The sequence below is a fragment of the Homo sapiens genome, chromosome 1 (genome assembly GCF_000001405.40).
Source record: "Homo sapiens chromosome 1, GRCh38.p14 Primary Assembly".
In the NCBI taxonomy this organism is placed as follows: domain Eukaryota; kingdom Metazoa; phylum Chordata; class Mammalia; order Primates; family Hominidae; genus Homo; species Homo sapiens.
In genome coordinates, this window is record NC_000001.11 from 18,057,866 (window position 1) to 18,075,427 (window position 17,562).

At 49.0% G+C, this 17,562-nt stretch overlaps 1 long non-coding RNA gene across 1 annotated transcript; it reads left to right on the forward strand.

Moving 5' to 3' along the window:
* Window positions 1-7,791: 7,791 nt before the first annotated feature.
* LINC01654 (long intergenic non-protein coding RNA 1654) lies at window positions 7,792-16,547 on the forward strand. Its single transcript, NR_125946.1, has 3 exons — window positions 7,792-7,982; window positions 10,327-10,413; window positions 14,355-16,547. It is a non-coding gene; the product is annotated as a long intergenic non-protein coding RNA 1654 (long non-coding RNA).
* The last annotated feature ends 1,015 nt before the right edge of the window (window positions 16,548-17,562 follow it).

Here is a 17,562-nt window from a genome sequence, read left to right on the forward strand (position 1 = left end):
TTACTTTCCTCATCTGTGCAGCAGGATCTGACCTATGTGGTGCTTGCTGTGGCTTGACCCCAGAGCTGGAGCTAGATCCCAGCTCCAGCCTCCTTCTTGGCTTCTTGGATCATCACCATTGGCAGAAAGTAGAGTTGGCCAGGATTGGTCTGATGCCAGTTCTGCCTGTTCCCCATAATCTTCCAATTTGCCTGGGCACATAGAGTGCAGCCCCGGCTTGGCCCGTGTGGAATGTCTAGTGCTTTGTTTCCACCATGTCTTAATCCTCTTCCATCTGACTAATATGGCTGATGGAGGGTGGCAGCCTTGGGAGGCAAGGAGGCTCTACCGTCCAGTAAACTTTTTAGTTTACTCCAAAATGTGGAAGGCGCTTGCCGACTCCCGGGTCTCTGTCTCCTGTAGCCTGGCTGGAAGCTCAAATAAATGTCCCTTTCCCCGCCTCAAAGTACAGACTCGCTGAGTCCCAGAGGCAGCCTTGTGAGTGGAAAGAAAGAGCAGGGACTCTGGAGACAGAGAGGTCAGATTCAAATTCTGGCTCCTTCTCGTAACAGCTGTCTGACTTGACTCAAAGCTTTCCCCTTCCCTTGGTCTTAGTTTCCTCCTCTGCAGAAGAGAGATAAAAAATAATCCCATCCCAAAGGGCTATTGTGGGGTTTTTAAACAAGGGAAGTTAAGGTTAGTGTTTGGCTTCATGTCCGGCACACGCTCAACTCTGGGTAAACCCTGGCCTTCCCCGTCCTAGCCCCCGGCACCTGCACCCTTGTCCTCACCAAATCCCCTCAGACCTCAGCCTCCTCTGGCTCATACTAGGAAGATCACGGTTACCATGGCAACCCACAGGCAGCGGGGGCTCCCTGTCCCTGCTCACCCAGCCCCGTCCCTCTCTGACCCTGTGCCTAGCTCAGCCCAACCCAGCCCGGGCAGCTGCCAAGGCGGTCAATTTTGTCAGGCACAGCCGGTTCTTCCTCCTGGAGCTGATCCCTAACCACTTGGAGGTTTAAAGAGGTTCAGGACTCAGTGGGCATGAGGGGCTTTTCTCAGCCAGCTCATGTCCTCCTGCATGAGTGGAAGCTCTGTCCTGCTGCACCCCTGACCCTGGCTCCTGCCAGGATCTGCTTTGCTCTCTAATTAGAAAGGCTGGCAGGGGTCGCAGTGGTATTTTGTTCCCCCATCCTTCCACGCCCTGCCTCCTCCAAGCATTTGCTGAGCACATCCTCACTCCACCTCCCCTTGGCTGGGCCTGAGTGGAAGGTTGGGTCTGAGTGAAAGGACATCTCAGCACACCGAACTGAAATGAGAGCATCCAGCTCTGTGTAATCCTGGCTCTGCACTTAGCAGCTGTATTACAGGCCAGGGCTGCTCTAACAGGGTCCCACAAATGGGAAGCTTAAGCAGTCAGAAATGTATTGACTCAGTGCTGGAGGCTTGAAGTCTGAGATCAAGGTGTCTGCAGGGTTGCATCTTTCTGAGTGCTACAGGAAGAATCTGTTCTAGCTCTCTCACTGGGTGTTTTGCTGGCACTCTTTGGCATGGCTTGACTCATAAAGGCACCATCCTGCCTGCCTTCGCTTTACGTAGTGTGTGTCTGAGTGTGTGTCTTCTCCATATTTACATTTCCCCATTTTACGAGGGCACCGGTCATGTTGGATTAGGCTTTACTTTGATGACCTCCTTTTAACTTGATTATCTCTGTAAAGACCCTATTTCCAAATAAGCTCACATTTCTGAGGCACTGGGGGGTTAGGACTTGAACACGTGAATTTTGAGGGGATGGGATCCAACCTATAGCACAAGGTGTGGCCCTGGGCAAGTCACATCACCTGTTAGGTCCTGAGAAAGGTTCATCTTGAAAGTGGGGGTAAAAATTGCCACATCCTCAGGGGATTGTTGTAAGGACCGAATGAGACAAGGTGTATAGGTTGGTTAGCCCAAGGCTAGCTATAGTGGAGTTGATAATCATAGCTGCTGTGAATTTCTGCTTGAGGGAGGGGACCATGATCATTGATGCATTTACTCTCAATGGACGAAGTAAAAGGAAAGGTGGAAAGTAAACTGTCAAGCCTCTTGGGGTTCCTCGTTGCTGTAACCTGCCTCCTAGCAAGCCCAATAGGGCTACACTTTTGCCATTCATTCACCAACTCCATCAATCTATTTGACAAGTGCTGTGTGCGTTCTATTTCATTTAATCATTACAAAAGTATTAGGTTGGTGCAAAAGAAATCACAGTTTTGCCATAAAAGTCATGGCCAAAAGTGCCATTACTTTTGCACCAACCTAATATTAATATTATTATTACCAATTAACAGATGAGGAAATTGGGGCTTTGGGTGGTGGCATGGCCTGCTCATAGTTCCACGGCACAAGGAATGGTGGGGGCCGGGATCACTGGTTTGGTGGCGTGTTTGTACGCGCAACTGCAGGGATACCTGCCTGGGGCAGCTTGGCCTTTTCTCTCCGCATGGGCTCCACATATCCTTTGAGCCAGAGCTCCCTGACCGCCTTTGCAGCCCATCCCTGGAGGGAATTCACAGTAGTTATGATTACCAACCCCACTATAGCTAGCCTTGGGCTAACCAACCTACACATTGTCTCATTCAGTCTTTACAACAATCCCCATGGGAACTCACACTCCCGCGTTGTTGGCACTGGGCACTGCGAGCCTTTGGATTGCACCCCAGCACCCAGCCCTGGGTTATAATTTTTTGTATTTATGTCTTTCCTTTGCTTGTCATCAGGCTGTTTATCGGCACGCGGCGACGCATCACTCGTACGTGTTAAATATATATACGTCTCTGTGTGTCTGTGTATGCCTTCCCGGTTCTATTTATGCAGTTCCTCGGAGGATTAATTTAGCCAAATAACCGAAGTTATTTAGGTAGCTGACATTCACACTGGAAAGAGAATGTGGGAACGAAGTCAGCGAGGCACTGGCTCTGTTCCCAGGCCCCCCGGACTCAGTTTCCTTCAAATTAAGGTCTGGTGTGGTGGAAAGTGCAGGAGCTCATCTAGTCAAATGTTCTAAACCAGGCCCTGTGATGGTGAGCTATGGATGCTGGGAAAAGTCCAAAGCTGAGCCTCAGTTTGTTCAGCTAAAAAGAGGCCTTTTTTTCTTACAGAGAACATGCAAGCTTTGATTGATTTAATGAATTTAAAGCTTTTTGTTCACTGTAGGCATTTATTTGTTAGTGGCACTCTCTCCTCTTTATGTCTCTGTGTCTGTGCCAAGTGATGCGTAAGATGAAATGGAAATTCCCGGCCGGGCGGAGTGGCTTATGCCTGTAATCCCAGCACTTTGGGAGGCCGAGGCAGGTGGATCATAAAGTCAGCAGTTTGAGACCAGCCTGGCCAATATGATGAAAACCCTTCTCAGCTAAAAATACAAAAAGTAGCCGGGTGTGGTGGGGCATGCCTGTAGTCCCAGCTACTCAGGAGGCTGAGGCAGGAGAATCACTTGAATCTGGAAGGTGGAGGTTGCAGTGAGCCGAGATCACACCACTGCACTCCAACTAGGCAACAGAGTGAGACACCATAAAATAAATAAATAAAATAAAATAAAATTCCTTGTGTTGGCACCTGAGGTCCTTGGTATTCTGACATTCTGATCCTTGTTGATCTTCCTTTCTCTGGAAGTGTTACTCTCACTGTGCCTGGACATGATATAATTCAGTTGGGATGGTTGATGTTGCTGGTGCCCTTTTAAGTCTCTTCCTGGAGCTCATCGTTCCTGTGTATGGTGACTCTATGGCTTCTACAAGCCAGCATACTGGAGGGCTTTCTTTGGTGGTCAGATCCCAACTCACATGCCAAAGGGGCAGGCTGGAGGTGGGAGCAGCTTCCACACAAAACAACCCCCAACCACCAAAGTAGGAAAATGGTACATACACACCCCAGTCGTTCATTCATCGAATAACTCACAGGCCTGTTCTGTGCTCTCACCTGCTGCTTCCCAGCAGGCTGGAACTCTGGTTGCCCCCTGCGGAAACCTGCTCCATAACACTCTTAGTTGGCTTCCTTCTCTTCTCTTCCATGTTTCACTCCCTCATTCTCCTACAGGTGTGTCTGGAAGCCACTTCAAAGTAAACTCTATGCACTCAAATCCTTGTCTTAGGGTGTCCTTTTGGAAAATCCCAACCTAAGACAAGGTAGGATTGTGAGCATTAATGGTCTGAACTCTGGGGTACAACCACCTGTCTTTGAATTCTGCTTCAAGAGTCAGTGAGAAGTTATTTAGCCTTTCTGAGCCTCAGTTTCTTCATTTGTAAAGTAGGGCCAGTAATGACAGTACCTGACCCAACAGAGGCATGAGATAAACCACAGAGATAGACAGGGTCCTGTCCCTCTCTGGCCACTTACCCTACTTCAGTTTGTTCCAAAACTCCCTTCACCCAGTTCACCTTGGGGATTCCATTATTTGTTGATTTGCACATTGTCTTCTTCACATAGACTGTCCCCACCTCATCTAGATGATCAATGTTGTGAGTGGGGGTCTCTGTCACTCTTGTTCACTGCTGTTTCTCAGGACCATGGACAGCGCCAAGCCCACTCTACTTTCCCAGCATGATCAGATCTCTCATTGCTCTCTCAGTGGCCCCCACGAGTGCTTTACCCATTCCTGGCTCTGATTTTGCTCTAGCACACTTCCTAGCACCTTGGATTCCTGTTCTATCCAACTCTATCCTTTTTTTTTTACTTTTTTTTTTTTTTTTTTTTGAGACGCAGTCTCGCTCTGTTGCCCAGGCCGGAGTGCAGTGGCGCCATCTCGGCTCACTGCAAGCTCCGCCTCCCGGGTTCACGCCATTCTCCTGCCTCAGCCTCCCGAGTAGCTGGGACTACAGGCGCCCGCCACAGCGTCCGGCTAATTTTTTGTATTTTTAGTAGAGACGGGGTTTCGCTGTGTTAGCCAGGAAGGTCTCGATCTCCTGACCTCGTGATCCACCCGCCTCGGCCTCCCAAAGTGCTGGGATTACAGGCGTGAACCACCGCGCCTGGCCCAACTCTATTCATTCTTTATAGCTCAGGAAGTGATCTCACTCTTGGTCATGGCTGACTGGATCTGGGATCAAGGCCTGAACCAAAATCATCCGCCTGTAGGCTGATGGGAAGCCTGTGAGTTGGCCTGGGTTGGGGGTTCAACCCCAGCCTAGCAACAATAAGTCACTGGTATTGAGCACATTCTGCACACCAGGCACAGCACTGAGCACTCCACCACACAATCTTCCTAACTCACAGCTGTCCTTTGAGGCTGGTGCTGTTATTATCATGCCTCATTTCATAGATGTGAAAACAGACTTGGGGAGCTTACACAACTTGCCTGATGTTAGGATTTGAATCAGATCTGTCTGACTCCAGAGCAGTCTCTAGGAATGCCTCCCTATCTTCTCCTTTGGGGTGGTAATTAACTAAAGCTCTCCATTCCTCCTTCTTGAACCATGAAGTTCGTAGTGCCCCTGCCCGCAAATGTGTGTATGTGTGCGTGTGTGTGTGTGTGTGTGTGTATGTGTGCATGAAAGAAAGAGAGAGAGAGAAAGAGACACTCAGGGAATGGGGAAGAGCAGATGTGGCCAAAAAGTGAGGTAAGAAGGCTGGAAGCTGAAGCCAGAGGTGAATAGATGTCTTAAGAGCAGGGACAAAGAGCTGAGAAAAGAGGAGCAACAGAAAGGAAAGATCTGAGCTATGGGGATGGTGCCTATGGGGATGGTCCAAGCCTTGCCCCATGACTGTGACCTTTCGATCTCTCACTGGGCACCCAGCAAGTGCCAGGCACCAACACTGAGCAAAGCTCTCATTCTCCACAAGGCCTGGCCCAGCAGCAGCTGGGATGGTTTCTCATCCCTTGAGGAACCCCAGAGCATATATTCTCTGCCATCTGAGTAGCCACCCACGTGGCTACTCCCAATATCATCATCACGCTGAACTCTTCCATGACATCAGCCCAATAATGGGTACCTCCATCCCCCCGACCTTGTGACAACATTTCATAGATGTCTTCTCCACACCACTCATACCACCTGCATCGGCACCATCATTAATTTCTTCCTTCATCTGGCAAATATGTATGGAGCCTCTATTATGTGCCAGGTACTCTTCTAGCCACTGGGGACACAGCAGTGAACAAAATCAAGTGTCAGCTCTCGGAGTCTTCCATTCATCCCATTCATCATCCTCACTACTCCCTCCATGACCTTGACTGCCAGCACCATTACCATCACTATAATATCATCAACCATTGTTTCCTGAGCACTTCGCTTGGAGCTGAGCACATAAAAAAGTTACCCCATCCTTGCAGCCCATGTTCTGCTTCCTATCTTCTCATCAGTACAGAGGGAAATCCCTCCTTACACAGACACGCCTCCAGTTTCCCGCAGAGTGTAGCCCCCCAAAGCCCAATGGGTGGAGGAGGGCTGTCTGACCTGCTTGGAAATTCTTTTAGTGTAAAAAGGAGCTGATGCTTCATCCCGAGACAGCTGCATTTCCCCAGAGCAGGAAATGAAATAACACAAAGACTGTGGCTCTCTCAAATAAAAAAAAAAATGCCCATGAGATGCCAGAAAGGGACTGGGGAGAACACTGTGGCTTGTGCTGGGGTCTGGCAGCCTCTGCCCACAAGCAGCATCTCGGCAAGAGCCCCTTAAAGAGTAACTGATAGAGTAATAAGGGAGCATGGGTTGGGGGGAACAGATGATCCTTAATTCTCTGGCTGCAAATGAGTTCATCTATTCACCCACGTGGCTCCTGTTTCCCCTCCTCCCCCTGCCCAGCATCAGGCTTCCTTCTAACCTGGCATTCCATATTACAGAGGGCTCCATCAGCCCCTAGGGCTGGGATTTATTTAAATGGTGAGTGAGCTGTGTGGCCAAAGCCCGTGTTAAGCAATGTTTATTACAATCAATAAATCATGGTCTCGTATCTGATCCAGAGACGGAAATAGCTCGTGAGCCCAGGATGCAAGGGAGAGTGAGGTTAGCACAGCCCGAGATAAGACAGACTCAATCGAGGTCAGTCTCTCCACCCTGGCTGCAGGTGGCTGGGTGCTCTAGAGCTCTGGTCTCCTCTCCTGACATTTCCTCTCCCACCTACCCCTTTGAGAAACCTCCCCCAGGGTCTGCCTTGTCTCCACATGAGAGAAGGCTGACCTGGGAGCAGAGGCACGGCTTGGAGAGCCAGGTGGGCTCCTCAGGAGCAGCAGGATTTGGGTGAGAAAATTGCCGAGTCTCCTTTGGTGACTTCTTTCCTGGTGGGTGGAAGGGTAGCTCCATACCCTGCCACTCTGGAAAGGAAGCAGGGTAGTTAGGAGACAACTTGAAATGCCCAAATCTGCAAGTCTGCAGCTTGGAAGGAGAGGAGCACTAAGGAGGGGTAGATTCATTTAGTTTTAAGAGCACAGTTTTGGTATCACCAAGAGCCAGTTGGGTTCAAATCCCAGCTTCACCACTTCCTTCCATTAGTTACCTAACCTCTCTGTGTAAATTGGAGGAAAGAATATGACCTTCTTTATAGGGTTATTTAGGAGAAATGCAAGGAGTTGGTGTGGGTAGGAGTACTTCACACCGGGGCTGGTATATGGTTTCTTCTCAATAGATGGCACTTGCTGTGGTAGGCTGAATATGCTCCCCCACAAAATGTCCTTGTCGTAATTCCCAGAACCTGCAAATGTCACTTTTATGGCAAAAGGGACTCTGCAGAATCATGAAGGATCTTGGGATGAGGACATTATCCTGGATTATTCCAGCGGGCTCTGTGTAGTCACAATGGGTCCTGGAAGAGAACACAAGAGAATAGAGAATTCAGTGTGAGAAGAAGGCCATGCAACACGAGAGGCAGAATCAGAGAGAGAAGATGCCATGCTGATGGCTTCGAAAATGAAAAAAGGGTCCTGAGTCAAAGAATACAAGTGGATTCTAGGAGCTAGGAAAGTCAGGAAACAGGCTGTGCTCTGGAGCCTCCATAAAAAACCAGTCATGTGAACACCTTGGTGTTAGCCCGTAAGCCTCACGTCAAACTTCTGGCTTCTAGAACTGCAGGAAAAGCAATTTGTGTTGATTTAGCCGGTGAATTTGTGATAATTTTTAAAAGGATCAAGATGGAAAGTAATGTATCTAGGAAGACCATGGTGCTGATGATGCCAGGGCCAGCTTCTCAGATGTCTCCCAGAATCCCTCAGGTCATACATGGAACCCCACCCATCTTCTTGGAAGGAGGAAACCAGGCTAGAGAACGTTCTACATGTGCCTACTTGGCATTACCAGCTCAGAGAAGTGGGAATGTGGAGCTTCACACAGATTTCTGATGCCCATGAAAGTGGTGGTCAAACCCTTTGTGGTCCCAGTCTCATGGGTCACCACAAGCTTATCAAGCAGAGCTTAATTCATGGAGTTTGTTTAGTCAATAGATGCCCTTATACTGGCTGAGGGGTGGCCAGTTGATGCATAGAGAGGGAGGAAAGGCAAGAGCAAATTCTGGGGGAAGCTAAATGTTGTGCAGGCAATTAGGAGTGAGGACTTGGCAGGACCAATCGTCAATACAGAGAACTGGACAATGGCTTGATAATAGGGTGAGGTAGGAGACCCCTTACCTGGGTCGAAGGTCAGGGCAAGCCTTCCTTGATGAAGGGACAGCTGAGCTGGTCCAGGGCTCCTTACAATGCTCCTGGCTAGGAGTAGGATTGGCCCTAGGCCTCAAGGTCTGGGGCAACCTACGACAGCATCTGTGAGCAAAAACCACCCAGGGACCCAGGGAGATGGACTAAGGGACAGTGACAGTGGGAAGTTTCTCTTCCTTCAAATCATGTTCTCCTTTGGACAGATGCATGGGCTCGATCTCTGGATCTACTCTGAAAAGGGAGGGGCTCCTACTCCCCAGTGAGACAGATGAGCCACCCCCAGCAGTGACTCAGGCTGCTGGAAGCAGTGGGTGGCAGTTTCCTTTTCCTTTGTCTTTTTCCTAGGCGGGGCTGCCAGCTCTCCCGGAGGCTCCTTGCCTAGCCCAGAAGGACTGATGGGAGGAGTGGGAGATGGCAGGTGATGTTGGAGATGGGTGCTGGAACTGCCTCAGGGGAGATGCTGGGGAAGACGGGGAAGAGGTGTCGCCAGCTTGGATGATTCTGAGGTCTCCTCTAGTGGTTCTCTAATGCCCACACCTGAACTAGATATAGCAGAATCACCTGGGGAGCTTGTCTACAGAGCGCGCTCCGGAGACCTCCTGCAACAGATTCCCACTCAGTGGTCTGGGATGGGACTTGACTTTGCATTTTTAGGGAGTAGGTTTGGGAGCCACCAGTTTGCATACTGGTTTCAGACAAGCAATGTCCACAAGGCCCCAACAGGCTTGGAGAAAAGAGAGAGGGGGAATAGGAAAAGCAGGATGAAGACAAAGGGAGAGAGGGCAAAGCCAGAGTAGAGGAGCAGAAAAGGCAATGAGTTGAGCACTCACTATTCATGGAGGGCTCTCTAGGCACCAGGCTCATTTGTTCCTCCCTGGAACCCTTCGAGTTCAGTATTGGTATTTCCATTATTCTGTTGAGGATAATGAGGCCCAGGGAGGTTATGTGACTTGCTTAAGGCCAACAGATAATGGATTGGAATTTGACCACTGCATACTATCCATATTTGTGGTCATTGTGCTTACAGAACAGCCCCTTGAGGACTTGTGTCGCCTAAGTTGAATGACAGGGAAGAAACAAAAATGATTGTGTTCTTGGGTCTCTGGAGAAGAAACAACTTCCCAGATGGAAAGCAGAGGCTTCTGTGGTGGCCCCTGGTCCTCATCCTAACCCTAGGCTTTAGTGACTTACCCAGGAGTGAGTTCTTACGGTCCAAAACAGAGCACCTCAGGGATTTGAAAGAGCCTGACCGTCTCCCCAACCTCCCAGGCCCACTCCGTCTCTAGCAGGCACCCAGCCCCTGCCTGGGGCAATCCCCTCTGGCCTTCCCATGAGCCCCCGGCCAGCTCCTGCTCCAGCTCTTGGTTCAGGTCACAGCTGCATCTCTTACAATGGCCCTGGACCTCTGGATTTGGCTTCGGGAGTGGCTCTTCCCCAAGTGCTTCTGGCTCTTTCCCCCAAACTTTGCTTCCAACTCACTCAACAGGCTTGTTCTATTTCAAATGGTGAGCCCATCAGCAACCCTAACTGCATATCAGTGCAGAACAGTGGTGCAGACAGATTCTGTACTTAAGGCATCATGTGGGAACTGGGAAGGGAAAGAAGCTTGTCTTATCCTATTAGTTTTTATCTTGTGTTTGTATTGGGAGGGTTGATCACATTGTCTCTCTCCTGGGATCACCAGACAGGGCCAATGCTAAAGAGCTGTGGGTATCACACTACTTTAGGTGTGATCATCATCAGAGGAGGAGGAAGGAAGTTGAGAAGGAGGAGGAAGGAAGTTGAGAAGGAGGAGGAAGGGGAGCAAAGATGAGGTAAAGAAATAATGGCGTGCTTCTCTCTTCCCTCCACCCCTTATGGGCCACTTTCAGCACAGCAGCCAGAAACACAACCATGATGCATACGTTTAAAGATCTCTCTATTGGTTTCTCTGGCATTTTGGATCAGATAATGCTTTGTGTGGAGGGCTGTTCTGTGCATTGTAAGATGTTTTGCAGCATCCCTGGCCTCTACACATTTGATTCCAGCAACACCTGCCCCAGTCTTAACAGCCAAACATCTCTCCAAATATTGCCAAATTGCTCCCTGTTGAGAACCTCTGCTGAACTGTTGAAAGCCCTGCAATGACTTCTCCAGTGGGCTGTATTATTGCTCCTAATCCTTCCACACCCACAGCCATATGCCTTTGTACCCTCTTCCAGTAGAGGCAGAGTCCATTTCCTTGTCCCAGTGATACTGGGTTCAGCCATCGACTTACATTAGCCAATGGCATGGGAGTGGAAGGGACAGTGAGTCAGTTTTGACTAGACCTTAAGAGACATCACCTGTTACCATCTTCTGCTTCTGCCATTGCCTCAAGAAGGGCATTCCTGGGGCAGTCCGCTGGCCCCAGGAAGAGGATGGGTACATGTGGAGTACACCTGGACCTCACCTAGAGTTCAAGCCAAGCCCAGCCAAGCTCCAGCAAAAGTAGACAACCCCGATCCAAGCTGAAGATGAGGGAGGACAAGTGATTGTCACTTTAAGCCATTGAGTGGCTTGTTAGGCAGCATTATGTGGAGATGGCTGATGAACACAGCCTCCTGTTGAAACTGAGAGACACTCTAAACTCCTTCTCTAACCTCTAAGGCCCTGCATGATTCAACCTCTGCCAAACTCTTTCAGGGATGGGAGGAGCATACGTGGCAGAGGGAAGAGCAAGGAAAAAGACCCTGAGATGGTTCCAAGTCAGGGTTCAGAGGACAGAAATATGGCCAGTGTTAGGCAAGGAGCAGATTGTGGCTGCAGGCCCTGCTTTCCAGAGAAGCCCGGATAAGACAGGCATAACCAGCATAAAAGTCCAGGATATTCCAATTATAGATTTCATGCCCTTAACTCCCACACTGTAGATTAAAAAAAAATGATTATTAGAAGTAACAGTCATAGGCTGGGTGTGGTGGCTCACGCCTATAATCCCAACACTTTGAGAGGCTGAGGTGGGAGGACTTCTTGAGCCCACGAGTTTGAGACCAGCGTGGGCAACATGGCGAAATCCTGTTTCCACACACACACACAAAAAATACAAAAATTAGTCGGGTGTGGTGACATGTGCCTATAGTTCCAGCTACTCAGGACACTGAGGTGGGAGAATCTCTTGAGCCCAGGAGGTCAAGGCTGCAGTGAGCTGTGATTGCACCACTGCACTCCTGCCTGGGAAACAGAGTGAGATCCTGTCTCAAAAAAAGGAAAAAAAAATAACAGAAAAAGAAGTAATAGTAGTAGTATTGCTATTAAGCTTTCTCTATGGGCCAGGCACTAGGCTAAGCACTTAACACACAGCACCAAATTCAGTCTTTCCATGCTTATGAGGGAAGTTCATTATCGTAGCCATTTTACAGATGGGGAAATCAAATCATAACTTGCCAGAACTCACACACGTCATGGTGACAGATTGAGCATTCAAACCCAGGTCCATCTGACCATAGAACTCAAGCTCTCAAGCCATCCCTCTGTCTCTCCCCTGACTAGCTGTGAATACCCAGACATTTTCTAGAACAAATTTCTTTTCAGGAAGCAGGAGAGATGTGCTACTTTTGAAGTGCATGACACCTTCCGGAGACAAGTGTCACCGTGGAGTCATCAAAGGCTTCAGTTACCTTCAAAGGCCGGCTGCTTGCTCTCCAGAATCACATCGTCAATGTGCCCTCCCTCTGCAGGGAGGGGTTGGCTTGTTTATTTCTTTGGGGACAAGCTTTAGGGTACACAGCCTCCATTATAGGACAGACTCCAGGATTTTTAGTCTCTGGAATTTGATCTCATGGCTGAAAGGCAACTGAGAGAGTGGCAGATAGACCAGGCTAAATAAGAGGTTGATTTTGCAGAAGACTGGCCAGGGTGGAGGGTCTTGAGGAGGCCTTCAAAGCTTAGGAGAACTTTAAAGAGTACAGAAGGCTGGGCTCCACCCCTAGCCTCTGATTTGAAGGTCAAAGCTGTACTTTTTTTTTTTTTTTTTTTTGAGATGGAGTCTAACTCTGTTACCTAGGCTAGAGTACAGTGGCATAATTTCGGCTCACTGCAACCTCTGCCTCCCAGGCTCAAGCAATCCTCCCACCTCACTCTTCCGAGTAGCTGGGACCACAGGCACACGCCACGGTGCTTGGCTAATTTTTTGTATTTTTGGCAGAGATGGGGTGTCACCATGTTTCCCAGGCTGGTCTTGAACTCCTGAGCTCAAGCAATCTGCCTACATCAGCCTCCCAAAGTGCTGGGATTACAGGCTTAAGCCAGGGCACCTGGCCCAGAGCTGTACTTGTTTTAAGGCTTCCTCCATCCCCAAGTGATTCCAACTTGCACTCCTGTTTAAAAATATCTGCCCTGGAGGCTGTGTCCACATGGAATGCTCTCTGCTTGTCCCATCTCCTTCCTTATTATGTTTCATGGCCAGGGGTTTTGGTATCACCTCTTTCTGCATGATGCCTTCCTGGGTTCATTAGTCAAAGGCAAATGTCTTTTCTAGTCTTTTCCCATACCTGAACATTTGACTCTTAGAAGGTGCTTCAAAACCAACATACCCTCCAAAAACTCACGTTTGTCCCTAATCTACTCCCACGTCTGGGGTTTTCTGTCTCAATAAATAGCACCTCCATCCTTCCAAAAGCCAGAAAGGGAAGGTACAACTGATTAAGGACTCAGGTCCTGGGCTGCACAGTCAGCCTCCTGGGTTTACAGCTTGGTTCCACCACCAATGGCTGTGTGACCATGAGCAAGTCACTTACTCTCTCTGAGCCTCAGTTTCCTAACCTAGGAGATGGGATGAAGTACTTCTGTATCCCGGGGTTGTGGTTAGGAGTCGGTGAGATGCGATATGTAAAATGCTTAGAACAGCACTTGGCACACAGTGTGCTCAATCAGTGCTCACTGTAATCATCCTGACATCTCTCTCTCCTTCCTTCCTCGTATCCAATCCATCACCAAGCTCGCCAACCCATCACCACTTCTGTCTCCTCAACATCAATTCCATCCTCTTCTCTCCATCTCCACCTCCATTGCCACCTACAGCATACTGTCTCTCCAGGACAACTACACCTGCTTCCTAATAGGCCTCTCTGCTCCCGCTTCCCTTCTGCTTCCAATCTGTTCTCAACACAGCAACAGCAGTGGCCTGGGTGTTCTTTTAAAACACGAATGCGATGATGGGATCGTGCCCCTCCAATGCTTAAAACCTCCAGTGACGGCTGGGCGCGGTGGCTCACGCCTGTAATCCCAGCACTTTGGGAGGCCGAGGCGGGTGGATCATGAGGTCAGGAGATCGAGACCATCCTGGGTAACATGGTGAACGCAGTTTCTACTAAAAATATAAAAAAAAAAATTAGCAGGGCTTGGTGGCAGGCGCCTGTAGTCCCAGCTACTCAGGAGGCTGAGGCAGGAGAATGGCGTGAACCCGGGAAGCGGAGCTTGCAGTGAGCCCAGATTGCGCCACTGCAGTCCGCAGTCCGGCCTGAGCGACAGAGCGAGACTCCGTCTCAAAAAAAAAAAAAACCTCCAGTGACTCCTCAGTGCTCTCAGGATGAAATCTAAATTCCCAAATGTGCATGAACAGTGTTCTCGACCTGGTCTTTGCCTTTCCAGCCTCCTGCCTTGACACAGTCTCTCTCTGTCTCAGTCTCTGTCTTTGTCTCGTCCTCTCTCCCCAGCCTGTCACCATGCAGATTCTTTTGCCTAATCCACTCTACCCTCCTTCTGTCTTCCTCTGTCTCCCTCCTACTCATCCTTGCAGCCGCAGCCGAGATGTTGCCAGCTCAGGGGGAGTCAGATTCTAGGCCAGATCCCTGGCTCTGTGCCCCACAGCCCACCCTTTGCATCCCCCGCTCCGGCACCTGTCATGCACACACCACGTTATGGTGATCTCTGGTCCAGTCTGCAAATATGTTGTTGCCTGACACAAAGTAAACAGTCGATGGATGCTGCTGTGCTCGTCATCGTTAAGTCATCACTATCATCATTTGCTCTGGCCAACTCCTGGTGTTTGCTGTCCTCTTAGAAGCTGTGGTATGAATTGCACGGATTGCATTCATGCGTCAACCTTCCCTGTGTCTACATCCCATGCCTGTCACTTTGCAGTTCTCCTCTCTAAAGAGGCCCACTCTGTTTCCCACCCCTTAAGTCTGGGCTGGCTTTCACCCATAGAATGCGACGGAAGTAACAGAGGCCAGTCCTGAGTCTAGGCCTCAAGGGGCCTCGCGCCTTTCTGCTCTGTCTTTGGCTTCCTGGTCTCCACCATGAGAATGTGCCTGGGCTGGCCAGCAGGAGAATGAGATGTGTGGAGCAGAGCTGAGCTGCTGAGACCATCCGAGAGAGTAGCCGGCAGCCAGCCAGCCCCCAACCTGTGATCAGCAGAGCCACTCGGCTGACCTGCAGATGAGAACAGAAACACGAGCAGGCCAGTTGAGCTGAACCTCATAGGCTCACAAGCTGAATAAATGCTTATTGTTGCGCGCTGCTGAGGTTTTGTGGATATTTGTTAGGCAGCCTTATAGTAGCAATTGATAACTGATACAGAAGCCACCGAAAGGAGCAAGCTAAGTCCTAGGGAAAAATGTTGCCAGGCGTTCGGTCTTCTCAGAGTGATAGCTGCTTATTAGAAAGAAACCAACTTTGACTGTCACCTTCTCTGCCACTTGCACTCCGTTAAACCCAGAGACTGGCAGATGCCTTTCAGCACAGCCGCACTCTGCCTCCCCTCCCTTCCTCCCAGACTCCTGTCTGAGACAGAACAGTATCTTTGAGAACCCGAGGGCAAAATCCTCTGCAGGAGTAGGAGGCGGCTCTTAAACAGCCCCAGGCGATGTGGAAGGTGGGCGGAGGCTGAGCTATTGCACTGCTCCCCAAATCCCAGTGCCTGGCTGCACCCCCACACCTGAAACCTGCCTACCCTGGTTTAAGCCTCCCCCAGCCTTCCTGGTGAAGACCCCTCATGGATTCTTGTTACTCTCAGGATTGTGCAATAAACCCTTCTCCTTCACGCAGAGTAGACGTGACGGGAAAGTCTATTTCTGGCCTGACTGTATTGCATCTTGTTTGACACCTCCGCTCAGCTGGCATTCAGGTGGGCACTACCTGCTCATGGAAAGTCCAGGAGAAAATGGAAGAGAAGATTTTTTAGAAATCAACACACAATTCAACGTCTTTCTTTCTTTCCTTCTTTGAGAGAGAAAGAGAGAGAGAGAGAGAGCAGTAGACAAGTCAATTTCACAGGGGCTGAGTATTTACACCAGTCTGAACCTGGGCTGGAAAACTGTTCACCCCAAGCACCATGGTGAGTGGGGAAGGAGGAGGCAGCTGCCGCCTTGAAATCACCAACACAGCTTTGTTTCATTGGCCCTGAGTCAGCCAAAACATCAGACGTTCCAAATATTAGACAACCTTCCAGGCCAATGTTAGCCCCAAAGCACAACCAAAAACCAAAGAGAAGTGTCTCAAATGTTCCTGAATGTTTTTACATTTCTTGGACAACTATTCTGCTCTGAGGGAATGTGAGAAGAGCTGTCTGTTCCATGGAGGCCCCAGAGAAAATCATTTCCCATGCCAAGGCTGGAGCTGGTGGCTGTTTCCCTCTGGGGAACGGGGTGGGCTCCATCACCCTCAGACAAGCTATAAAGCAGGCTTTCAAATAGCATATACTCTGTGGGAGCAATTCCACTTCTGGAGATAGATTTTTTAAAAATCAAAAGCAAGATCTTGAAGAGATGTGTACATACTCATGTTCGTAGCAGCATCATACACAATAGCCCAGAGGTAGAAGCAACCCAGGCGTTCATTGACGGATGCATGGATGAACAAAATGTGGGACATCCATACAATGGAACATTCAGCCTTCAAGAGGAAAGGGATTCTGTCAAGGATGCTGCAGCGTGGATAAAGCTTGAGGACAGTATGCCAAGTAAAATAAACCAGTCTCCAAAAAGACAAACATCACATGATTCCACTTATGTGAGGTACCTAGAGGAGTCAGATCCACAGAGACAGAAAGTATAAAGGTGGTTCCCAGAGACTGGGGGGAGGAGGGAATGTGGAGTTGTTTATTGGGTACGGAGTTTGAGTTTTGCAAGATGAAAAAGTTCTGGAGATTGTACAACTACGCGAATATACTTAACACTACTGAAATATACACTCAGAAATGGTTAAGATGCTATATTTTATGTAATATACTTTGTACCACAATTTAAAATAATTTTAAGGTCAGGCGTGGTGGCTCATGCCTGTAATCCCGGCACTTTGGGAGGCCGAGGTGGGTCGATCACCTGAGGTCAGGAGTTCGAGACCAGCCCGGCCAACATGGGGAAACCCTGTCTCTACTAAAAATACAAAAAATTAGTCAGGAATGGTGGCATGTGCCTGTAATCCCAGCTACTCGGGAGGCTGAGACAGGAGAATCACTTGAACCTGGGAGGTGGAAGTTGCAGTGAGCTGAGATCGCGCCATTGCACTCCAGCCTGGGCGACAGAGCGAGACTCCATCTCAAATAATAATAATAATAGTTTATACTATTAGCCGGGTGTAGTGGTGTGTGCCTGTGGTCCCAGCTACTCAGGAGGCTGAAGCAGGAGGATTGCTTGAGCCCAGGAGTTTGAGGTTGCAGTGAGCTATGATCATGCCACTGCACTCCAGCCTGGATGACAGAATGAGACCCTCTATGCCAAAAAACAGTGTATATTATACATGTGTTAAATGTTTTAATACACAAAATTATAAAGAAGAAAGCAAAAAAGAGGCCCTTAATTCTCATAGCCAGGACACCCTTTTGACATTTACATATTAAAAAAAAAACTCTGATATACACACATGGTCAGAATACTTAGAATTATAGAGAAACATAATTTATATCAACTTTTAAAATTTACACAGAAAGAAACTTACACCATTCTGGATCTTACCTTTTTCACTTAATATACATTAGAGACCTTTTTAAGTCAACATTATCCAGC